Raw genomic sequence first — 27,012 nt, 5'->3', positions numbered from 1 at the left:
CAGAACCAACCTCCCATCCTTTGACAATCATCCAAGGTCCAGAAATGTCACATCTTAGTCCCCAGCCTAAATGCAGAGCCCATAGACCACCCAGCATTACACTTCTGGTGCTAGAGCATGAATGCCAAGCCTGAAATCGAGTGGCTTTATGGCTCAATAGTCAGTCCCTTATGAGGGCCTACAGCAGCATCCAGCATGTTGCATGTTCTGCTCCTTCTGCCTCTCCTCCACCATAATCCCTGCCACTCTACCCCTCATTCATGTTTGCTCATCTTTAAACTTGCCAAGCACACTCCGATCCAAGGACTTTGCCCCTGCTGTTCCCTACACCTATAATCATTTCCCCAACAAATATCCACATGATTTATGATTTTCTCCCTCAGAGCATTTCAGCCTCTGCTCAAATGTCATACTCTGACAGCCCATCTTCCAGTCCATGCCACTCCCGCATCACCCTCTAGCATGTCATTTTGCTTTATCTTTCTTCCTAGCATGAAACTCTACCTGCCATTGGGTTGTATTTTTATTTGCTTATTATGTATAAAAAGAGGAATCTCATTTTATTCATGGCTATATACCCAGCACTAAGATCATTACAAGGCACATAGCAGGTGATCAGTATTTGTTAAATAAATAAAATCATCTTCATGTCCTGCCCCTCTTTGCCACTGGGGCATGGGAACGAACTGGATGCCCTAATGATATTCCTGCCTAATTTACAACACATGCTCAAGTGAGAGACAGGCAAGAGTCAAGACTATTGCAGACAATTAATTAACTGTCTTAATTCAATAAGATTTCTTAGAGGCATCAGTGGTGTTCTGGAGCATGTGATCACTTCTTGTTTTTAAAGATAATGCACCATATTCCCATTTGAGAAAAAATTCACCATATTATATAAATGGGGTTAAGGTTCTGCATCAGGTTTTTGTACTGCTGCTGGTTTTAAGACTCAGGCTGCTGAGTGCCCAGCCTTTGCAAGAATCCACTTCAGGAATAATGACATCATGCCTTAACTCTTCTGAAACACATTTTCACTCACTGAGCAGTTCAGACAAAACCAATTACATGATGTCATTTTCTATTTTGGAGAAGAGGCCAGGGTGCTTGGATGGATATTTACTTCACATTATTGCACTAGAGCTGTGGCAGGCACCTCGGTCTTGATACTAATGGCACCTGTTGAAATGATAACTAACAAGGCTGGATTGTCAAAATCAATTTTCTTGCTATGTGTGATGCTTTGCTACTCAGTTTAATGTTCAAAGGAGATTCAGGAGATATAAAGAGTCAGTTATTTGTTTTGTAAATTGAGAACAGATCAATAAAATGTGCCTTCTAGGAATGCCAAAGACATCTTTGAACTAATTTGAAGAGAACTTATTAAAGAAATTACTTAACATGTGGATATATTAATTATTAGCCTAAGACTAATGTATAATTAATGTGTGCGTGCATGTGTAATTTTTTTTTCCTTTGGAGATAACTAACTCCAATTCATTAGTCAGATTAATTTCAACACTGTAAATATAAAAAAGCAAATATTCAGCAGTGTATGTCAAGATCACTGCATGTTCACCAAAATCCATTTCATCTTCTTGAGCATATGTGGTTGGATTACATGCCCCAGTGTCCCTTGGGATGAGGTTTGGTGATATGACTGACTTCTAGCTCACAGAGTTAGAGCTAGAGTCACATTCACAGAAACCTTCCACTGGTGACCGTCCATACTCTTTCTCCTTCTGGCTTGATGCAGCCTAGCAGGGTAAGTTGGATGTCTCTGTTTGTAGATGATGGGTTTACAAGATGGAAGAATGCCGGCCATGTGAATCATGGCTTGAAGGGAAACAGTCCACCAGAAAGAGCATTTTGTAAACAACAATGTAAACTTCAATAGTGTTAAGCTACTGAGATGTGGGGGTTTATCTTTCATAGCAACTAGCCCCAGGAAGAACTGTGGTGACCTTCCTGGTCCCTATCTTGCATCATATTTTCATAATCGAGCACTCTAATTGGCTACTCTTCAATTCTTCACCATACTTGGGTGATCAATGCAACATCTCAATGACGAAGATAACTTTTTTTTTTTTGAGACAAAGTTTTGCAGTGTTGCCCAGGTTGGCCTTGAACTCCTAGGCTCAAGTAATCCTCCCACCTCAGCCTCCCCAGTAGCTGGACTACAGGCATGCACCATCATACCTGGCTTAAAGAGAACACGGCTATTCCAGAGAGAGTTGTTCTATAAAGTAATGGTATATATGTATATCTGGAGTCAGAGCTAAGCTCTATAATATCAGTTTAACTAGTTAAGGTGGCTTTATTATATTGGGGCTTGACTTATCCATCATCTGGCTTCTACTTCACAGTAAAATTAAGTGGTCACCAGAACCCCAGTGATGGGGCTGGTATTGGTAAAAACATAAAATTAATTAGAAAATGTATGAAAGCAAATAAATAAAATGAAAAGAACATAACAATAAAAGAAAAGGGCCATTCTTTTGAGTTAATGCTTCAATTTGGCCCCCAAAAAACTCCACAAAGATTTGCAAACAATAATATCTTTACAATCAAGTATCTATGCTGAATTTGCCTTGAAACAAAAATTCTGCTACTTCACCAAAAATAAGAGCTAAATTTCCTAATGGACACATTGCTAGTACCTTAGGGGAGAAATCAAAAATAATTATTTTTTCACTTATTACGAATATGGAATAGTTTAAAAATTTTGCATACTTTCAACCTGAAGCAATGTGAACTGCCAAAGACTATTTTTTTTGTAATTCTGGAAAGGACAATAAAAAAGCCAGTAACAACTCAACTATTAATTCCTATTTTTAGAAATAGCTGCATTCTCCCTAAATTTATGAGGAAATATGAGATTCACTAAAACATTACCGAAATGAGAAGATCTTTATAATTAAACTGTCTGCATTGAAAAAGTTGCTGTTCTTGAAAAGAGAGAAACTTACCCAGCTAAAACACAGGAAAAGGAGGGTGATTCAAAGCTTGAACCCTGAGGAGCAGCATGTATTAAATTTAGAGCTCTTTGAAATACATAACAAGGCGAGTCTGCAAAATCCAATTCACCTAGCAGGGGGTCAATTATGCACTGTAATACAAAATAAACATGCCAGCTAGCTGAGAGGAATCACAAACTGTCTCAAGTCTTCCCAGGTTTTTTTCTATTTCTGTTCAATTAATATTAGTTTTAATTTCATAAAATGTCAGGATCCTTCCCATATTAATTCTGAGTTTGTAACACGTAACTTAACAATTGCTGCTGTTTCATCCAGTCTTTGTACCTGTCCAGTTGTCACAATCTGAGCTCTCCAGGGCAATATACTTTCTTTAAGAAAAATTAACATCCTTAAAGCAATGCTTCCCCGAGTGTGTTCCACAGAACACAAGTCCCAAAAGAAATGATTAGGGAAAGTAAAGGGTTTTATTTTCATGTACAGTCCTTGCTTTGAACACTTACAATGTCTATTTACATATTAAAGGTTCAAGGAAGCCCTTGAGTTAAAACACTCCATCCCGTTTATTGAGCCTATGGTTCTCCAGACTTATTAAGCCACAGACCCCTTTTTGATATAAAACCTATTACATTCCATGGAACAATTTGGAAAATGGTGGTATTAAATATGACACAAAGATACAGATTAAATACTGTATTAGAACCAATGTGTAAATTGTACATTATTATTTTCCAAACAGTAAACCAAATATTAACCTGTTCATAATTGGTAAAACTTAGTTATCATATTTGCAAGTGTTCCACACTATTTAATTCTTTTTTTTCTCATTGCAATTTGTTTAGTAATTACCCACTTTCTACCAATAGCTACTCACTAGTCACCAAAAGGTTAAGGAACAAAACAAGACCAAATCAAACAAAACAAGACCAAAACAAAGAAGAGCACAAAAAAGTTATTCAAATTTTACAATTAAATTTTAAAAAGAAAAAAAAATTAAAAAATGGGCAAATAATCTGAATACACATTTCTCCAAAAGAGATAAATGAATGACCAGTCTGGGCAATATGGCGAGACCCCATTTCTAAAAAACTAAAGAGTTTGTGCTTTGTAGTCCCAGCTACTTGGGAGGCTGAGGTGGGAGGATCACTTGATCTTGGGAAGTCAAGGCTGCAGTGAGCTGTGATCGCACCACTGCACTCCAGCCTGGACTAAGAGTGAGACCTTGTCTCAAAGGATGGAAAAAGAAAACAAAGTAAGCAAATGCACATGCAAGAAGCTCAGCATCACTAGGATTAGGGAAATGCACATCAAAACCACAACAAGATACCATTTCACACCCACTACTGTAAACAAAAAGATAAATATTAGCAAGAGCTGGTGAGAATGTGGAGAACGTGGAATCATCATACACTGCTAGTGGAATTGTAAAATGATTCAACTCTTTAGGAAAACTGTCAGTTCCTTATGGTTTAAACATAGTTTCCATATGTCCCAGGAATTCTACTCCTGGGTATATACCAAAGATACATGAAAACATATGTCCTCACAAAAGCTTGTACATAAATGTGTTCTTACTCATACAGCCAAAGTGTGGAAGTGGCTGAAATGTCCATCAACTGATGAATGGGTAGATAAAATGTGGCATATTCATTCAATTGAATATTATTTGACCATAAAATGGAATAAAAAACTGATCCATTTTACACGGATGGATCTCAAAAACGCTAGGCTATATGAAAGAAGCTGGTCACAAAAGACCACATATTTTGTGATTCCATTTCTATGAAATGTCTGGAAGAGACAAATCCATGGAGACAGAAAGTAAATTAGCGGTTGCAAAGGGCAGAGTGAATTGAGAAATGAGGAATGACTATTAATGGGGACAGGGTTTCTTTTGGAAGTAACAAAATGTTCTAAAATTACATTGTAGTGATGGTTGCATAACTCTACGAATACGCTGAAACCTACAGAATTGTACACTTTATATGAGTGAATTGTATGGTGTGTGAATTATATCTTAATAATGCTGTCACTTAAAAAATAGGTGACTGGTTACTTGTTACTTGTTAAAACTCTGATAAATGGCTGCTGTGAAACAAAGCAAAGCTGGAAAAAATGGAAAGCTTTTGATTTTTATAAGAATTTTGGTCACTGTTTTCTCTCTTTTCTTCAAGTATTTCAATTAGTAACAATGGTTGTGGGTACACATATGTACTTTTTTTTAAAAAAGAAGCTGGAACTCAGTAGGGTTACACTGACAAAAACCTGTGGTTACAGCACTGAGACTAATTTTCACATCAATCAAAGACCTAAATAACGATGGTTAAAACACCCTAAAATATTACTTGACATAATGAAATGACAATTTGTGAGAATAACACGACTAGGATACTTGAATTAGGATATTAATTTAGGGGCCTCCCACCATTTTAACATTTTGGCATATAAGTCATTGAACACCATTAAAATTAGCGTATCTAAGCATACTTTGTTCTCCTATATATAATCTGAGTATTCTTAAGTTCTCTTCTACTATGAAACTTTCTTTCCAGCAAAGAGGGTGTTCTCAGGATATAAACCACCTTAGGGAGGCTTCTATTATTTCATACTTCAGTCCTGTTTCCTGAAAAAAGAAATGCAAGCTCTTTGAAGGCAGAACTCAGGTCTGATGCTTACGCTTTCTTCATCTGCAAAGCTTTGCTACTCAAAGTGTGGTCCATAGGACGGTAGTGTCAGCATCGCCTGGGAAATGCAGCAATCTCAGGACCCACCTCAAACCTGCTGAATCAGACACTACGGGGGGTGGAACTTGTAACTAGCTCTGTAGGTGACTCTAATGTACCCTTCCGTTTGAAGAGGGAAAGATAAATGACTGAGTTATGACTCTCTCTAATATTTCCTGACTATGTCATTTGGGTAAGTTACTTCAGGTCTCTGCATCTCAGGCTCTAGGTTGGCAAGATGAGGATAAAATTAATATCATTTTTATAGCACTGTTGTGAATAATTAAATTAGATAATGTATATAAATTAGCTTTTAAACATAAAGAGTTACATAAATGGCAGTTGCCATTATAATTACTAAGCAAGTCACAAATAGATAACTAATGAAAACATACCATTTGATGTATTGAATAATGTCAGTCATCTGTCTAAACAGCAGGATGTTTTAAAAAGCAGGAAATGTTTTGAATCAGGACGATATTATACTAAAACTTGCATGTATTGTGGCAGGTATGATGGTAAGTGACTTACACACATCACTCCATTATGCCTTATACAAAAAGTAAAAATGTACAGTTATCACAGAAAATCATCCATTTTACAGATGAGGAAACTTAGTTTCCAAAATCATTCAGATGTTGATTGTAATCAACTGATTATATATCCAAGACTCCAGAGTCCATACTCATATAAGTACTGCACTAAAACTGATTCTCACTTGTAACCTAAATGAGTTTTTCTTCTTTATTAAGGTATAACATACATATAGTAAAATGCACACGTATTAAATGTACAACTTTATGAATATTTATATATGTAAACAGACTTATAACTACTACCTAGATCAAAATATAGAACATATAGAGCCTCTATAAGGCTCCCTCACGCTTCTTCCAGTCAATATTTCCCAGTCCCAGGGGAAAACTCTATTCTGACTTACAGGACCATTTATTAGTTTTGCTTGTTCTTGAATTTCCTATAAACAGAACAACAGAGTAAGTAGTCTTTTGCACATGACTTCATTTGTTTTATTTGTTCCACACAATCTCTGTGAGATTTATCCACATTTTTCCTGTAGCAGTGGTTTGTTATTTCATATTGCTAAGTAGAAGCTTATATATTTGAAAGATAAATAGGAAAATGCTAGTTAAATTCTTTTCATAATCATCCTAATGGTGCAGACAGCAGAGCCTGGCTGGTTTCTATTAGACAATGTGGTTGAGTTGAAGAACAACTAAATAAGAAGCCTTGGATGTGTCAATCACTGAAAGTCTTTCTTGTGTGCAAGTTCAAGGACACATGTTCTGATAAAAATCCAAAACCAAGATGATGAAAGCACCCTGGAAAATGCTCAAAAGATAAAAGGAGAAAAGGATGGATGCTATGTCATTATAGAAATAAAGTACAGATTACCTGGACATCTGGTGAAAAGGGAAGGAACTCAAATATAACACTGTATACCTACTGTCCATGGAGTTCATGGTAGTTCATAGAGGCCTTTATTATAAGCTTTAGGAAAAGAGGCTGCCCAAATATTCATGAAAATAGGCACAATTCCATAATAGCTTAACTTGACTGTTAGCAAGGTATCAAGGATGTAATTCTGAGTCAGAATCTTCAAATGACCCCAGTGAGGAATAAATGGAGATGATAAATGATGACTGGGTGTGGCTATCCATGGAGCCCTTTGATTAACACACAGGTGGATTTATAAGTCAAATTCATGTTAACTGATTTAATTCTTCTCTGGCTAAAAAAATCATAAATACAATGTGTGTTGACTTCAGGAAGGCATTTGGCAAAATATGTTCTTGAAGATAAAGAAATATGGACAGGCATGGTGGCTCATGCCTGTAATCCCAGCACTTTGTGAGGCCAAGACAGGCAGATCACTTGAGGCCAGGAGTTTGAGACCAGCCTGGCCAACATAGTGAAACCCCATCTCTACTAAAAATACAAAAAATTAGTTGGGCATGGTGGCACATGCCTATAATCCCAGCTACTTGGGAGGCTGAGTCATGAGAATCGCTTGAATCAAGGAGGCAGAAGTTACAGTGAGCTGAGATTGCACCACTGCATTCCAGCCTTGGTGACAGAGGGAGATCTCAAAAATAAAACAAAAGAAAAGAAAGAGAAAGTATTCCTAACAGCAGACCTAGTCAATGCCACATCATACACGAGTCTCTACCTAGAGGGGATATTGAGGCTTTAATCTGATCTGGGTCAACATTTTTACAACAGTGTAGTAAAAACATTCAAGTTGTGATGGCCAAATGTATGCATGACATGAAATTGGGGAAAATTGTGACTGTTAAGTGATAGAATTAAGATCCAAAAAATTTTACGGAGCTCAGTCAAACCTACAAACAATAAACTTAATAGTACTAAATTTAAGGTCTTTAATCTGGATCCAAAACACAACTGCACAAGTAAAAGATGGGGAAGAACATTATGTTGCCTTTGGATTTAGCTGATTATAGGCTCAATTGTTAGTATTTTGTTGTGGATGGCAAAAAGAGCTGCCATGTGTGTTTTGTTTCTCACACTATGCCAGCCTAGATTCCCTGTACAGCTCTTTTGTTTTTTTTTAATTATTATTACACTTTAAGTTTTAGGGTACATGTGCACAATGTGCAGGTTAGTTACATATGTATACATGTGCCATGCTGGTGCGCTGCACCCACTAACTCGTCATCTAGCATTAGGTATATCTCCCAATGCTATCCCTCCCCCCTCCCCCACCCCACAACAGTCCCCAGAGTGTGATATTCCCCTTCCTGTGTCCATGTGTTCTCATTGTTCAATTCCCACCTATGAGCGAGAATATGTGGTGTTTGGTTTTTTGTTCTTGTGATAGTTTACTGAGAATGATGATTTCCAATTGCATCCATGTCCCCACAAAGGACATGAACTCATCATTTTTTATGGCTGCATAGTATTCCATGGTGTATATGTGCCACATTTTCTTAATCCAGTCTATCATTGTTGGACATTTGGGTTGGTTCCAAGTCTTTGCTATTGTGAATAATGCCGCAATAAACATACGTGTGCATGTGTCTTTATAGCAGCATGATTTATAGTCCTTTGGGTATATACCCAGTAATGGGATGGCTGGGTCAAATGGTATTTCTAGTTCTAGATCCCTGAGGAATCGCCACACTGACTTCCACAACGGTTGAACTAGTTTACAGTCCCACCAACAGTGTAAAAGTGTTCCTGTTTCTCCACATCCTCTCCAGCACCTGTTGTTTCCTGACTTTTTAATGATTGCCATTCTAACTGGTGTGAGATGGTATCTCATTGTGGTTTTGATTTGCATTTCTCTGATGGCCAGTGATGGTGAGCATTTTTTCATGTGTTTTTTGGCTGCATAAATGTCTTCTTTTGTAGGGCTCTTCTGCTGGAAAAGGATGAAAACAAACTAAAGACTCTGAAGAGACATTAACACTGACTCCAGGTTTCACCCTGAAGATATCTGCTGAGTCTTGGCAACCATGAGCTTCCATTTGTATGATTTCAAATGTGTGAGTTGGAGCAATCAGAGAAAAAGTCTAAGGACTTTCCAATGTGGGGAGTCTCACTAGAGATCCCTTATACAATTGGAACAGCAGCATAAGCTGTAACTGGCAATAAATTCTTTCAGAAAACAAGAAGGGAAATTGCCTGATGAATTGAGCACTAAGTGAAGGAAAAAAAAAATCTCCAAAGAGATTTCATACCCACAACCTGGTCGGTATTTGAGTTTATGGCTTGCATCATACTACTTTTGTAGGGAGTTGGGGAATGAATTTATTGGCCACTGGTTGATTTCCCACCTCTACCTCTGTGGACAGCTACTTGAAGCAAACAAAAATCATCCTTGACGTGAACCCAGGTCTCAGACAACACTTAAAAGAAAGTTCCATGAAAATATATAATATATAAAATAACAAGTCAACATGAATAAGAAGAGCACAAATAACAAACAACTTCAACCCATAATTCTAATAGATATAGGAATTATCTAAGAATGTCTAACACATTTCAGGAAATAAATAAGAAGATGATAATATGATTAAGGAAGAAGTAACTATTAAAAAATGACCAAATCAATTTTAAAATAAAGCAAAAAGAATATCTAGGAATTAAAAATATGGTAATTAAAATTAAAAACCAATGGATGTTGTCATGCTTGGGGTCAAGTTCCAACCCCAGCTGAGGGCTGAGGGGAGTGGGTGGATGTGGGGCAGGGAGCTGGAAGAACACTTGAGAAACAGCAGGTAGATGAGACATGGCTTTATTCAGCAGCTGCCTCACAGGGTCAGTGTTACTTTTATACATTACACAAACAATAGTGGCTGAGAGCTAGGTGGTGAGCTTCTCTATGTTATGGCTATGGCGGTGAACTTTTCTATGTTATCTCTACACAGCTATGATTATATAAGACATGGGACTATGCACTTGTACCACAAACCTGCTGAGTCATCCAGGTTGTTTACCTTGGCCTATGCCTGCTTGGGTGCAGCACAGTCATGTTCCTTACAGATGTTTTATCAGCAGATTAGACACAGCTGAAGGAAAAATTATTGACCTAGAAGATAGTTATGAAAAAGTGATTTAGAAGGCAGCACAGTGAGACAGCTAGGTTGGAATCATAAGAAAGTTGTTGGAGGGCACGACAGAGTGGAAAAGTCTATTGAGAAAAGGAAAACAGAATGAATGGGAGGGAGGCAAAGTAGCAATGGGCTATAAATGCTAGAGAACTGATTACCTCAAACCTCAGATTTAGGAAGCACAACAAATCCTGAGGAGGAAACTTAGAAAGACATATACCTGGAGACTTAGTGAAATTTCAGAACACCCAATACAACATGAAAATATTAAAAGCAACCAGAGGAAGAGATTACTTCAGAGGAATAACAATTGCCATGACTTGTCAACAGCAACAGTGAATATTAGACTATAGGAGAAACTGCTGCCAATGTGCCAAGAAGAAACAACTGTCAACCGGGAACTGAAAACCCAGTGCATCCAACTTTTAATACAAAAGATTTCAAAAGGCCATTTTTCATTCAAACAAATGGAAAATATTTAACAATACTCCCGGGAGGATTTCCTACAGAACCAACTACAGTCAGAAGGAAAATAATCCCAAATGCAAAGTCAGAGATGCATGAAGGAGAGGTAAATAAAAAAAATGCTGATAAATATGTGAGTGAATTTCTATAAGCATTGATTGTAGTAAAAATGTCTAATGTGTGTGGTTTAGGAAGGTGTAATTAAATACCAGACTAAATAGCTGAAGCTAAAATGCTGAACATATTTTATCATTCAAGAGAATCATAAAGATTTTGATTAAAGTTACGTATACAAGCCAAAATTTCTGGAGTAACCAAGAGATTAGAAAAAAGAGTGAAGTATATAATTTCAAGCTAGTTCAAAGGATAAAATAGAAAAAAATTAAACCTGGCAAAAGTGAGACAAATATAGAGCAGTGAAAAATGGCTGTAGTAACTACATCAACATAAATACATTTCAAGTAGCATTATTGGATGAAAAATGAAGTTTCATAAGAATACATGCAATATGATTCCATTTTTGTTCAGTATGATTCTTTTTTTAAAGAAGTCCAAAACATGTAAAATTAAACAATATATCTTTAGAGCTGCCTGGTATGTAGTATGACTGTAAGAGAAGAATGAGAAAAGTAAATGCAAAATTCAGATCAGTGGTTATGTTGGTAGGGAAGAAAATGAAGGGATAAGGGAAGGGTACACAGAAGGTCTCTAAGGTAGGGAAAGCTGCTTATTTTATTATTATTCTTTGAATCTTTGAGAGGCATTATAAATATTTTAGCATATCTTCAATATATAATTAAAAGCATGCAGGAGCACACACACATACACAGACACACACACACACACACACACACACACACACACACTGCTCTGTACTAGGTCAGACTGATCCTGGAGCATCTGTAGAAACTCTACTTTAAGAAGATGAATGGGCATGAATCTGAAAAAAATAATCAACATACTGAGTTGCCTCTTAGAGCGTATAAGAAATAAATGAACAAACTGGAATAAAATAAATAAATAAATTCTCATTTATTCGAGGTTGGAATAATATAGAAAGGTGCTCCCTTCACAATGCTTTGCCTTTCTACTCATGAAAGGAGGTTCTCCCTACTTGTTGTTGGCCTATTGGCCAGCCATAGATCACCTGGTCTCTCATGCCTGAGTGGTGATCAGGAAAACGAAGTGTTTTGCGTCTAAGCCTTATTGTGGAGGAAAGCAAGGGGCAAGGCATGGAGCTTAGGTGGTGAGACAGCCAATCTGAACTTTGAACTATTTTCCTTCCATAGAAACTCAGAAATACCCAGCACCGATTCAGTCTCAGAAGATTGTTAACAAGTGATTGCGTTTACATTTATCCAAATTGGTTGGTTTACTTTAAAATGTAATCTAGAATGAAGGTGAAAACACTGATCAATGCAAATGGGAAGTTCGGTTTGCTGCAAAACAGTTCTAAAGAAAACACTTAAATTATTGAATAAGGTCTATGATGCTTGTTTAAGAATATACAAAAGCAGACAGCTGCCTTACAAGCTATAAATACTTTAAGAAACAAAATCAATCTGTTCTCTTTCAGAAATGCCTTGATTTGTCTTAATCGTTCTTAAATGGCGATGCCCCTAGTTCAACCTATACATAAATCATGATTGTACAAAGGTCATTGGATGGCACGTCATGTCATTACCAGTGATAAGAGGACTATCAATATTTTCAGAACTCAACACCACAGCAGACAGTAAAAGAGCTTAAAGGTTTACTCAGCCTCAGTGACAACTCAACGTGTTTATATATGTAAGGTGTTTAGAATAGTGCTTTGCACACTTGCGAAATGTTACCCCTTGTGATTTTTCTTATTTTCTTGAAGTAGGCAATGCTTTTGATTAATATATGTGTGTATACATATGTGTGTGTGTAAATACATATATACGTTTATATATATACACATATATTTACATATATACATATATATAAACAGAGGGTATGAAAAACAAAAAAGCTATTTCAAAGCAAATATACTCAAGAAAAACAAAGAGAAAATATGTCCATTATATAACTTTAAACAAGGGGAAATTATGTATTCAGCAAATTGGAATGGGATATTTTTAAGATGAGATAGAGTTATGAAATTTCAATCACAATTAGCAAAGCATTTATGACACATTTTTATGAGGGAATTAAATCAAACAACACAAAATCCCAGGCCAAAAATATTGTTTGCTTCCACATAAAATAATATAAAATGCAAAGAATCAAAGTAACATGCTGAAGCCCTCCTCCTTGACCGTCGAAACTACTTTCTCCACATGAGAAATGATACAAAACTGCATGTAGTTTTGTGTTATTATTTAACCTCTCAATTGGATTGCAACTATGTCCACACAGGGTACCTTCCTCTATTGTTTTACTGAAATATAACTAATTAGGGGAAAAAAGAAATTCATGCTGAAATAACCACAAAAACTAGCATTTGCAGAGCAAGTATCACTTGAAAAAAATAATTTGCCAGGAATTTTATGTGCATAACACAGCAACTCTGTGAGATAGGTATTACATTACCATAATCATGATTGCTATTTTGAGATGAGGAAATTGATGCTTAGAGGGATTAAGTGACTTGTCAGAAATTATCCTGTAAGTGGTAGAGGCTGAGCCACCTACCCACCATGTCTTATAGCTTCAAAGTCAAATCTTTTTATTATTTGACAGTTCTATGAGTCTGCCCCCAAAACTGCAGACTAGACCTCTTAATAGGAATGTCATTTACTATGCATACATAATATTCTTGGCCCTATGCAAGATTCTGGAAAATTGGAGATAAGAAAGAGCCCTCGACTTTCAGATTCTTTTTCTCAAGACTGGGGAAAGCCAAGGAGCTATAAAGACTTTAATTAAGTCCCCTAGCATAGTCAAATAAGGTAGGTATCTATTTAAATTTAGATTAATTAAACTAAATAAAATTAAATTTTAGTTCCTGAGTTGCACTGGCCACATTTCAAATACTCATTAACCACATCGGGCAAGTGGCCACTCATTTGGATGGCACAGATATGAAGCATTTCCATCATCACAGAAAGTTCTATTAGACAGCACTGCTTTGGAGACTTGCCACTCAAAGTGTGCTCTCAGCACTGTTCCTATCACCTAGGAGCTAGTTAGCAATGAAGACCCTCAGGCCCCAGCCTACAGAATCAGAATGGTAGTAAGAGTCCCCAGTGGTTCCTATGTACTTGAAAATCTTAAATGGGGGGCTTTAGAAAAAAGCTTTAAGGGCTTTCTTCAAATAGTCACAACCAAGTAAAATATGTGAATATGTGGGCTAGTGGGTGAGTGAGGGAAACAGTGAGGAACTTTTAGGAAAAACATAAAGAACTTTACATTCAAAATAAACACTAAGAAATCAGTAATAAAGATCATGGCCATCCTATATGGTTGGCCATATGCCAGGCATCACACAGAAACTTTGCCTATATTGAAACAAAACTTTTGGACAGAATTTTTGAACAGCAGTTAATGTGGATAATGCATTCACCTTGTGTTTTGATAAATGCTTGAGAAGAGGGAGTATTCCCACTAAATCTTGAATAGGCATCATAATTTACAAGAAGAATTCACAAAGCTCTGAGTGGGATGCACTTAAGCCATGCTCTTGAATGTCAGCAGGCTTGTGGTCATGTCTCTAAAAATGATATTCTAAGCCAGGTATAAGCGGATGGCTTCCCAGCTCTTAGATGAATGCCAGGAAGGGTAGTTTTAGAGTCCCTTTAGAGTGATACTGGATGATGTCAATATGAAACTGCAGCCATGAAATCTAGAAAAATGCTATGAATTACTAATAAAGATTCAAGAAAGTTCCAGAAAACAGAACTCACTCAGCTGATATCTCTATCACCACTTGATCTCATCTAGAGTTTAGTAGAATCATTTTTGAATTAACAAAGAAAAACAAGTTCTGAAATCTGCCCTTAAGTCTTTTCCATCCACCCAAACTGGTTCAGGTGGACAAAACATTGGTTCACAATTTCTGAGCTAAAAACTGCCACTTAAGGTGGCTTCATAGGAGCACATATTCAGTGTTCACATATTGATATTTATCATTTGGGGGAAATATATTACACAGTAACTTAATTACACCTCTCCCACTAATTCTAGGAAATCCTATTGTTGAATATACTCTGGTTTATCACTCCAGGCAATTTCTAGAAACTCCGAAGGTTGTACCATGCAAAGCGGTGATTTGCAAAATAACCTTGGATACAATAGGCAAGGGAAAAATGTCATGGCCTCTGTAGCTGGTCACCACATGCAATGGTTTCAATGACCTGAAGTCACTTGAGGTTTGTAACAATCCCTTTAGATAATATACATGATCAAGTTTTTCATAACCTTCACAACAATCACAATAAAAGTGTTAGTTTAAATGACCTCACATGCTTTTTATACATCAGGCACATTTAATTATCACTCTTTAATAATATTTGAAACACTATATGTGGGCATTCTTTAGTAGACTACCCTCAAACCAAGACCATGTGAAAAACTCAGGTGACTATTACCTGGTAACACCAATAAAGGCAGCAGCAATACATGGCAGACTAGGGGTTCAAGCATCTGGTTATAAAAGATCTAAATGTAAAGTAATTAAGCATTCAACTTCAATAATTTATTATTTAAGGACTCGCCAGGATCTATATTAATCCATGTCCAAAGAACAGGATTGAAAAAACATGCTTTCCATGCAGATGCACATTCAGACTCAATACAATTACTATGCAAATGTCTAACGACAAAATTAACTTGCTTAGCCAAAACTTTTCCTCGGAGATGAGTAGACAGATTTCTGTAAATTTAGCTGCGTAAGTGTTTCTCGGTTCATGTTATAACCTATTGTTTTTCTACAAAAATGGATATGAATAAGTACCACCATCACTTTCTCCCCCACAAACCAATCAGATTCCTCAGAAACTTTGCTAAAACCCAGCTTTTAAATTGTCTAATGGCATCAGTATCACCCTGCACCTCTATGTAAAAGTCTGACAAGCAATTCACATTTTATTCTTCATGGCTTTTAATTCTATTGAAATAGGATTTGAACATTTCAAAGTGTAGACACCATGTTATTAGAGTATTTTATGGAGTGTCAAGCTCTGTACAAACATTATTTCATTCATCTGCATGATTTCCTTTCTGGAGTGGGTGGTGTGTTATTATTACTCTTGTTAAGTGGGATAAATTAGCTTGGAAGGTCAGCTTCTTTACTTTAAAGGAAGAACTTACTTAAGAGTCCAGAATGACAACCTCAAATGTCTTTCATCCCAGACAGGTAATGTAAATAAGGTAAGCAGGCCAAATTGAATATGCGATAAAAATGGATTTTGAAAAATTGGGAAATATATGCCCCCAAGTCTCTGTTTCATCTAAGGACGTTGATGTAGCATAGTGGTTAAGAGTGAAGGCCTGGGCAATTTCTTGTTGCAAAGAAGTATGCTTTCTCTTGAAATCAGCACATTTAGGCCTATGGGGAAGCTTCCTTTTTCTACCCATTAAGAAAGGGAAACATAATTTGTTGAAAGATAAAGAACCTAGGACATTAGAATTTTATGATTAAGATGGATGAGGAGGGAATGATCACTTACTGAGATGAAATATTCATGTACTCATTCAAAAAATATTGATTGATCATGAGAGATGAAATATACAAACGGACAATGGCCAGACAATATATGACAACAGAATTCTGAGCACCACCTCTGCAGCAACCAGCTGGAAGCCAAACCACAACCTCTACAGCAACTGGCCCCAACAGTCACGATACAGTCAATGACTGCCAGCTTCCCTATTCTTGGCTCCCTCCTTTCAACTCAGAATCAACCGGAGGAAGCAAGATCTGCTTCCCAAACCAACCACATCAGATGTTCACATCTAGTTAGCTCAACTCCAGCTTCCTCATGCCACAGCGTACCTGGAACCTGCTCTTTGTTTCACTCTAAAGGTTTCCTATCTTTCTGTGTTCCTTTAAGTCTGTGCCAAATGCAACTGATAGTGGTTGATTCTCTTGCAAACTCTAAATAAATCACCTCTGTTCTTGTTCATGTGATCTTCATTTATTTTCACAAGCATATTTAAAAATAACTTTATAAAGTGATCTGGTAAGAGCACAGAGAGGGAAATTCCACAGAGGGTAAAGGCAATGAGACTTGTGCAGGAGACAGCATGCCAGGAGTAGTAAAGGTGGCTGAGGGTGCCTGGAAGGCAAGATGGTGTGTACGTGTGTGTGTGTGTGTGTGTGTGTGTGTGTGTGCGCGCACACATTAGGGGTATAAGTAGGAGATGACTTTGAATAAAGAGACCAGGAATATCATGCAGTTCATTACTTGACAAACTTGGAATTCTCTATCCTAGTAATGGGCAATAATAAAAATAATTAAATAGACGACTGATTAAAATAAGATTTTAATAGGATTGAACTTGGATTTTCTGAAGTGTTACTCTAGCAGTGTGATGGAAGCTGGATGGAAGGTGGGCAATTTAGGAAATCGTTGCTGCAGGCCTAAACATTGGCAGTGGGGAGAGAAGTGAGGACAAAATAAGGAGATGAGAAAGATGTTAAGGACACACAACTGGCATTACGCTGGGTGAAGACAAGCAATGAACTGAGAGTCACTCTGGGTTTGTGGGTGGCATTGTTCATGGAATAACAATAATGAATGATGACTGGTAAGTGGTGGAGGTGGGACAGGAGGCCAAGATGACCCCTGCAAAGCTCATGTTACTCCCATTTGTATGCACCATGTCCCAGGTAGAGAGGGGACAGTGCTTCACACTTGAACTTGCTTCCAGCTGAGTCTCTTACACTTACAAAAAATAGGTGGCCTCATTAGGTAGCCCTTTTGCAGGTGGCATATAAAAATATGTTATCATATAAAAGTGCAGTTGGTTAAAAAATATAACTACCTCTAGAGAAGTCCATGTAAGATGATTTTGGTTAAAATGTGACTGACATGAAGAAATTTGCAGTAGACTCTTTATGTCCCAATCCAAAATTCATATGTTGAAATCCTAACCCCCAAGGTGATGATGTTCAGACATGGAGCCTTGGGGAAGTCATGAGGTCCTGAGGGTGATGCCCTCCCTCCTGAATGGCATTAGTGCCCTTATAAAAGAGGTCCCAGGGAGCTCTCTGGCCACTTCTCCCATGTGAGTTACAGTGAGAAGAAGGCTATCTGTGAGGTAGTGGGCTCTCACCAGACACCAAATCTGCCAGCACCTTGATCTTGGACTTCTCAGCCTCTAGAACTATGAGAAATTAATTTCTGATGTTAAAAATCTACCCAGTTTATGGTGTTTTGTTAAATCAGCCCAGGCTAAAGTGAAGGTAAAATGATTTTTGTTTCCTTTTTTATATGTGCTAAATCTATATTCTGTACATCTTAATTTTATATTGAAATTTATTTATTTTTCTCATAAAACTTGTGTTTATTAAAAGCAGGAAATACACCCTTTAAAAGACCAACCTATTTCTTTACTGCTACTCTGCAATGTGTAAAGACAAAAAAGAAAAAAAATTCCCAAAAACCAGTGCTACTAAACAAACTAACAATTATTTCACTTCTCAATGAAAAATAAAATACTCACCCCAAACTTTTCACTCGCAATTCACAGCAAAGATCGGAATTTACTTAACACTGCTGGGTACAAGCACATTCACCATTTTTTGCTCATGCCTATATCATCTCTCCTGTAACAAGCTTTTGGAGGGCAGGTCATTCTTCAAGACACTATGTAAGGACAAATACTAAAGAATTTTTCTTAGTCGTTGTATGCTAAAATAGTAGTGTGGTGAGACCTACAGCAAAATCTTATTATTTAAAAAATAATCACTGTGATAGCATGCTAAGTTATATGAGATCATTCATAATATGTTCCCCTTGGCTAATTTGAAACCAAATCTTTGATTTTCTCTGTATCAAGCATCCAAGCAAGATCAGTCATTGATTAAACCAGAACACGTATTCCTATAATTTACTGCATGGTTTTGATTATGATGCGAAAGCTTTGATTTTGCTGTACACATCATTTTGATTACTGCCCCTGCCTGATTACCGTCCTTGAACACAGATGGGAATTAATACTCAGCACAAAGATAGGAGCCTATGGAGGATATAGGAAATCTGCGTAAGCATCCATTTGTGTGACGCTGGGGAGTGAGTGGCTACAAAAGGATAAAGTTGGTCATGGCCACATCCTCCTCACATTCTCCCAACCATGTGCTCACACAGCCACAGAACTAAAAAAGACTACTCTCAGATAATCCCAACCAAAGTCTACTAAGAGGTGGGTGCAGCACACTTAGAAGAGGAAGAATACTTAACATGGTGAAACCCTGTCTCTACTAAAAATACAAAAAATTAGCCGGGCGTGGTGGCGGGTGCCGGTAGTCCCAGCTACTCGGGAGGCTGAGGCAGGAGAATGGCGTGAACCCAGGAGGCGGAGCTTGCAGTGAGCCGAGATTGCAAGACTGCACTCTAGCCTGGGTGACAGAGCGAGACTCCGTCTCCAAAAAAAAAAAAAAAAAAAAAAAAAGAGGAAGAATACTTGTAATAATAATTGTTATATATATCTCATTTAATGGTATAGCAATTACCTTCCAGATACTTCCAATTGACCAGTATTTTTTTTTTTTTTTTGTGATGGAGTTTCTCCCCTGTTGCCCAGGCTGGAGTGCAATGGCACAATCTCGGCTCATCGCAACCTCCACCTCCCAGGTTCAAGCCATTCTCATCCCTCAGCCTCCCAAGTAGCTGGGATTACAGGTGTGTGCCACCACGCCCAGCTAATTTTGTATTTTTAGTAGAGACGGTGTTCCTCCATGTTGGTCAGGCTTGTCTTGAACTCCTGACCTTGATCTGCCCACCTCGGCTTCCCAAAGTGCTAGGATTACAGATGTGAGCCACCATGCCCGGCCAACTAGTACTCATTTTAACAAAGTTCTTGATTCCTCTTCCCCAGGTTTCACCCATTCATTCATTCATTCATCCATCCTTATATTCAAGAAATATGGATCACCTGTTGTATACCAGACCACGTTCAAGACATGTGAACTAAAAAGCAGTGAACAAAACAGATAAAAATGCATGAAATATACATTTTAGAAGAAAATAAAATTGGTAAGTAAAATATATAATATGTTAGATGGGGATAAATACTATAGAGAAAAGAAAGGCATGACAGGGAAACAGAGAAACAATGCAATTTTTAAAAGGCTGCCCAGGGAAGGTCTGAATCAGAAGGTGACATTTAGGAAAGACATGCAAGACGGGAGAGAGTGAGCCACACTGGTGTCTGCAGAATAGCATTACAGACGTAAGAGTGGCAGTCTCCACAAAAACACCATCACTCACTCGGATGCTCAGCCCAATAACCAGTGAGTCATCCTGACTCGTTTCTTTCCATTCGTCATCCAATCCATTACCAAATTCAGTCAGCTTCATCTCCAAAATGTATCCCAACCACTTCTCACCAACTCCACTAGGGGCTCCTGTTGTCTACCTAACTGCTCTCAAGACCATGGTCTCTGGCCCAGAGTCAATTCCCCACATAGCAGCCAGTTTGATCTTTTAAAAACACATGTCATTTTACTCCTTGAAGCACATGCTTCAAAGACAGCCATCTCCCTTGGCATCAAGTCCTGACTCCTCATCATGGCAAAGGTGTCCTGGATCCTGGCTACTTCTCCAAGGCATTTCCCAGCACTGCCTCCCATCACTGACTCTGCTGCAGTCACATGCCTGGGACATTTCAGCCTCAGAGCCTGTATTATTAGTGAGCTCGGGCTGCCATAACAAAACACCACAGACTGGATGGCTTAAACAACAGGAATTTATTTCCTCACAATTCTGGAGGTGAGAAGACCAAGACCAAGGTGCCTTCAGGGGTGGTTACTGGTGAGGCCTCCCTTCCTGACGTGTAGACGGCCACCTTCCCCTGTCTCCTCACATGGCCTTTCCTCTGTGTGTGCACAGAGTGAGTGAGCTCTGATGTCTTCCTCTTCTTAAAAGGACATCAGTCCATGGGATCAGAGCCCACCCTTATGACCTCATTTAACCTTAATTACTTCTTTAGAGGCCTTATTTTCAAATACAGTTACACTGTGGGTGAGGGCTTCAGCACATGCCTTTTAGAGGGATACAACTTAGTCCATAACAGAGGTTTTGTATATGCTCTTCCATCTGCCTGAAATACTCTTCTTCCAGATTTCTACATGGTTTATCCCTTTATTTCATGCAGGTAAGATGCTTTCCTTGAACACCCTCTGCAATATCACTACTCTCACTCTGTTCCTCTCTCTCTCTCCCCTTACCCTTTGCTATTCTTCCAGCCACCAAACTCTTTCTGATATTATATTATGTAGTTAATTGTTTATTTACAGTCTGAATTCAAGGAGGCAAGGACTTGTTTCTCTTTTACATCCCCAGGCCCTAGAATAGTAGCCCACATATAGCAAGTGTTCAGTCCACATTCATTGAATGAAAATTCTCACAATAATTCTACCAAGTAGGTACTATTAGCCCCATCATAGGAAACTGAGAATATCGAGGACCATAGAAGTTAAATAACTTGACTTGGCTTACTCAGTCAGACTCAGGATTTAAATCCAAGTCTATTTACCTCCAAAGTGAATACATGGTCCATCTGTTATCATCTCTATCCTTCACAACAGTTCTGTGAGGTGGCTGCAGGAGATACTGTTATTGCTCACCTTCCACTGGAACCCATGGGACACTTTGGTGATATGAGGAGGAGAACTCTGAGACTCATGGCCGGGGGCCTCTTGCCTAAGTAGTGCAGTGAAAGAGTAGTTTTTGGAATGAGCATGTTAGGAAGGATGCGATGCCAGAAACAAAGTTACAATTCCAAAGTTGAGTTATCACATTCACAAAGAAGTAGATAAGGAGAAGAAACCATGATGCAAAGTCAGGCAGGGTTCAAAGAGAACTGATTTGTACCTACGTTTAAAATAAATAGAGGAGAAATTCTCATAGCTGGAATTCTGGCATCCATGTCAGCTGGTGTACTCAGGGACATTCAACCAGGCAAGCAAACATGGTGTTGTTGATGATGAATCATTATAATGCCAACGTACTTTCCATCTTGCACACTCTACTCACAATCCCTCCCAAAGTCCTACAGTTGTTTACTCACAGTGTTCCTACCAGAATATCTTTCCTCCAATGTATTCATCTGGTTAAATCCTATTCATCCTTCAAAATCCCAAATCAAATATCATTTCTTCTCTTTGGCTTTTTCTGTACTCATCTCTTTGGACAGAATCAAATGCTTCTTTTGCAGGGATCACTGAGCGCTATTAATAGAACCTTTCTGTACAACCTGGCTCTATTCTAGCACACAAATCATTATTTGTTTTAGCTCACTCTCTCTTCAGTGATGTTCTTCAAAAACAGCACCTACATGTTATTCATCTTTCATCTCCAGCACAAAAGCATATGCCTAGCACTTTGGAGAAAAACAATAAATGTTTGAAAATTGAACTACAATTTTCATAGGAAGACCTTGATGACAATTAACTAATGGCAGAGCTAAGTTTTCTCCTCAAAATCTCAGTGCTTTTCCAGTAGACCATGTTGCATCTACTTGAATCATTTCACCATATATTCTCACATGGCTAAAAAATTCCTGGGAGTGTCCTGATCACCTTTCTTTTGAACTTTTGGTTTTAGCAAAAAGGTAAGAGGCTGAATAAAAATTAAAATTGAAAAAAAGTTAAAAGGAATAATCTCTTCCTATGAGAAAATGCTTATTTCTTAGCAGAGGCATTGGAACAGAGAATTAAAAATGAAAATGGAATGATGCCTTGCAAATTGAAGCTCATCTGAGATACAGTTGTTTCATAAATATTAGAAATTTTTAAAAACATTCAGAATCAACATTGTTTCAAATTTTCCTCACAAATCTCTCAGCTATTTTCATTTTAAAAATAGGAAAGAATTCCCTAACTGGGTTACAGACAACTGTGCAATGAATGTCAAAACTAAAATAATTTCCTCAAAGATCTATACTACAGGTTTTTTTTAGATGAGTGAAATAAAGAAGGAAAGCAAGAAATAAGGAGGAAAAAAGGAAGAGAGGGAAGAAAGAAGAAGAGGGAGATGGAAGAAAGAAGAAGAGGGAGATGGAAGAAAGAAGGGAGGAAGGAATGAACAAAGGAAGAAAAGAATGAAGGAAAATAGAGGCAAATGAAAAGAGAAAGAGAGTCCTAGGAGGGGAGGAAAAAGGAGGAAACGAAGGGATGAAGGAAGGAAACAGCTCATAAGAGGTTTAAAATACTTACCTGAAGAAGGCAATCTGGGCCGGGTGCAGTGGCTCACACCCGTAATCCCAGCACTTTGGGAGGCCGAGGTGGGTGGGTCACTTGAGGTCAAGAGTTTGAGACCAGCCTGTCCAACATGGTGAAACCCCATACCTACTAAAAATACAAAAAAATTAGCTGGGTGTGGTGACGCCCACCTGTGGTCCCAGCTACTCAGTAGGCGGAGGCATGAGAATCGCTTGAACCCAGGAGGCAGAGGTTGCAGTGAGCCAAGATCGTGCCACTGCACTTCAGCCTGGGTGACAGAGTGAGACTCTGTCTCAAAAAATAAAAAATAAAGAAGGCAATCTGAAAAGGATTCACAGGATGAGTCAAAAATAAATCTATTTACCATTTTTATCCAAATGCAAATTGTTATTTTTTCCTTTGAACTAACTCTTTTGTGTTTCTTATTGCAAGGACAGAGTAAATTTTTAATGGGAAAATAACTTTGTGACATGGACATATATAGGCATAGCTGAATATGGAAGTGATGAATCAATACCGTGTGGCTGAAAAATGAAAAATGTCTTATAATCCATGAAAAACAAATGTACAATCTATATATTATTGTAAAGATTTAGCATTCACCCCACTACTGTTATAGTTCTTGAACATGGACAGCAGTTAGAATCTTGCCTTATTTTGCCAATTTGTGCATATTTTTCACTGGTACTGCATACAAATTTGCCAAATGTTTTCATCAGGTACAAGCCTACTTTTTACAACTTAACAGTAAATTGAAGAAATCCAGTGTGGAGAATTGTACTATTTGGTGTGTTTTCTAACTCTACAGTACTTTCACAAAAATTTTGTTAACTGTCCAGGGTAACATTAGCTTCTAGGAACCAGTTCTTCTTAGCCTAATCTTACTGAGTTTGTCATATGTAATAAATGGAGGATGGTAGAACCACCCAAATAAAATCTACAAAGTATACAATCACCGATAGATGCCTCGCTAAGTACAGAGTCCTTAAGAAGAGATCATGCTTTCATTACAAGGTTATAGAAAAATATATTACTTACTCCAGTACTCTGCTTGAAGCACTGATCAAAGCTACCTGGATGTTTGAGGAGCAGAGATTGAAAAAAATCAGAGACAAGAAGAAAACAGCAGTACAATGGTAGAAATCTCACGTGAGAATTGTGGGTAAATCCACATTCCAGCACTGCCCTGTTCTTATAAACAAAATGTTACCTAAGAATGATCCAACTGATGGATGTCTCTACCTATTCACTAATTTCAGAGACTGACAAAAAAAAAAATGAAAGAAAAATTTATGTGATGGCTTTGTTCATTCAATAAAACTTTCCCTATATCAATGTAGTTGTTATACTCCATTCAAATTAAATATCAGGTATTGAAATAGATGAAAAGAGACTTCGTGTGAAATTTTTCAAGAGAAATGAGAATTTAATCATTTCACCTGCAGTCTGAGACTTATCTAAGACCACAAAGGAAATTAATAGCAGAGCACTTCCAGGAGTAGGATGGGAGGAAGCCTAGGAAAAATGATCTTGAAATAGTCATGCTAAATCATTAGGCTTTCTGAAGACTTCAACGGGGTCATGCTAATGTGTGGTAGAGATTTCTCTTATTTTATTGAATAATTGAATTCCAAAGAACAAATTTCAATATACTACCATTAGCTTCTATTATATAGTTAGAGATTTAATGTCACAGAAATATTCCCAAATACGCCTAGGTTTTATGACCATCAACCCCATGGTATGATGGACATTATAGTCCATTAGTAAGATTATGCCTGTAACTACATAGCAGTAACGTGTGTGTTCTTTAAAAAATCTTACTTTGACTCCTCCCCAAAACAGCACTTTGGTCAAGGACTTGAGGGCAGGAAGTTTATTTGGGAGCTGATCCTAGGATGCAGAAATGAGGAGCATAGACAATGAGATAGGGAAGGAAGATGTATTAGAAGAACGCAGGAATGAGTTTCTTACCACTGTGTATTGAGTGGGGGGCTCACCCCTGTTAGGGACACTCTAAGAAACGATTGTAGTATGTGCCCCGGAAGTGTTCTCCTTCGGGACAATGAGGGTCGGAGTTTACCCGGAAACCATCCCCATCATTCCACTGGTTGAGGGCTGTCCTTAGGTAGAGTATATTATTCTCTCTTAATTCTGAGTTGCACCTGCCTGCTGAACGGTCTTTCAGATTCTCTTCCCTCTCCTTCTTTCCCACATGCACTTGAAGGAAGCGGGACACTAGCGATAGGCAATTAACTGTCTACAGCACTTGTGCTGAAATCCAGAGTGCCAAAGAAATGTGGTGTGATGAATCACCAGCGTCTGCTACAGAGAAGCAGGATGCTATGGTAGCCAAGAGTGTTTAGTGTCAGCTTCACGACACTGCTTCAGAATATCTACAATCCTCAGTTACCTCCTCCATAAGATGTTGACAATAATAGAATCTATGATGCATATAAAATGCTTGATATAGGACCTGGTATGTCATAAGCATTCAATAAGTATAAGTTGTTTTTATTTTCTTATCTCTAAACATATATTTTACTACTGGCAATGCTCATGAACACCAAGAAATATATCCAATTTCTGTTAGTTTGAATTTGCATTTAAGAATAAATGATTTCCCTTCTCACTTTAGTTGCCATTTGAAATAGCCAATGGATGAGATATGAAGTATCACATTCACTAGTAGTTTCTGTGATCATGGAATCATAAAATCTCAGGACTAGAAGAGACCTCCAAGTTCATCCTATTCAATAGCCTGTGCATTGCCTTTCAGGAGATGTAATTTCCTTTCTTACCTCAAAGCCATCTGTGTGACCTTAAACTATTGAGGTTGGTTTTTGTGGGATGCAATCCTTTACTTTTTGTCCTCACCACTCATACAAACAGCTAACATCCAGACAGGGAAGAGAAATGCAGTTCCAAAGCTAAAAATGTCCCTTATAAAAAGTATTCAGTAGAAAGGATTCTCCTTTTTCAAAAATGAATTATCCCTGAGATATCACATTGACATTCTCTCCAAGTTTTCTCAGAAAGAACAGATATTGTTATTTCTGTCCCAAAAGGAACCCTGGTGTTGGAAAAAGTTTTTATAAGAAAGGATTTTCACAATCTTGGGCACACTATTTGTCTTCAGTGGCGCCCTAACACAGCAATTATTCTGCCAGCTCAGGCTTCTTCCGCTGCCTTCTAAACATAACACATCTACAGATTTAGTTAAAAGTATATCAGCAATTTTGCCATACAAAGGCTCTGCTCCCATCAAAAACATGGAATGTGCTGAGTATCTACGAAAAGCTATAATTATCAACTGCTAGTGGAAGAAACAGAAAAAGGCACAAGACTGATGTGCGTTTCAGGTTTCCAGAGCCTGCTCAATTAGAGTGAGGATACCTAGCAGAAAGGGCCAAAAGAAAAACACAAATACTGTGAAGTTTCTTTTCCTGCTCAACACATTTTTCATTCTGTTCAAGAAAAGGAAGGTACACCTTTGCAAAGGGATTTGTTCCAGCTAGTAAGCGCCTACTCAACAAACAGTTTCTTGAAGAAATCTGCAAGGCTGGTGACACAGAAGACTATTGTATGACACCCAGTGAGCCTCTGGCAGGCCAAAGCATCTGAACAGGAAAATATATGTAGGATTGTCAATAGCAAGTTTGGACAATGTGTCTCAGGACCTTTGCCAAGGGCCTGATTTGAAAGAGGACAACATGAATGCAAACAAAGGTGGCAGCCATTTTCCTGATATTCTGTCCAACACACACATAGAGTCTGAAATTGTAGAGTGCAAAGGGAAATTAAGGGTCATGTTGTGACCTTTTCCCCTGTCCTTGCCCTCCCCCACTTCAGCCCTTATTGCAGGAGTTCCTGCTAAAATCATATTCCGCATAGTGATTATCCAG

The 27,012-nt window shown here is 37.9% G+C and overlaps 1 protein-coding gene and 1 long non-coding RNA gene across 3 annotated transcripts in view, besides 1 other annotated feature; both read right to left on the bottom strand.

The window, feature by feature from the left end:
• The window catches only part of PLCB1 (phospholipase C beta 1), a 752,635-nt gene that overhangs the window by 410,133 nt on the left and 315,490 nt on the right, over positions 1-27,012 (bottom strand). The window lies entirely within an intron of this gene.
• Positions 1-27,012, bottom strand: part of LOC124900459 (uncharacterized) — a 112,238-nt gene that overhangs the window by 37,738 nt on the left and 47,488 nt on the right. The window contains exon 2 of the long non-coding RNA XR_007067518.1: positions 1-27,012. This exon is cut by the window's left edge and continues 37,738 nt beyond it; it is cut by the window's right edge and continues 25,414 nt beyond it. This is a non-coding gene — a long non-coding RNA (uncharacterized LOC124900459).
• Positions 9,595-10,794: an enhancer, noted in NCBI's record as "MED14-independent group 3 enhancer chr20:8444621-8445820 (GRCh37/hg19 assembly coordinates)". NCBI's record gives its function as "activates an origin of replication core promoter dependent on BRD2, BRD4, P300/CBP and CDK7 cofactors, and independent of MED14, by STARR-seq in HCT116 cells {active_cell/tissue: HCT116}" and the evidence as "EXISTENCE:reporter gene assay evidence [ECO:0000049][PMID:35650434]".

Source organism: Homo sapiens, chromosome 20, assembly GCF_000001405.40.
Source record: "Homo sapiens chromosome 20, GRCh38.p14 Primary Assembly".
NCBI classification, from domain to species: domain Eukaryota; kingdom Metazoa; phylum Chordata; class Mammalia; order Primates; family Hominidae; genus Homo; species Homo sapiens.
Note: the sequence above shows the minus strand (reverse complement) of the source record. Positions and strands in the feature narration are given on the sequence as shown.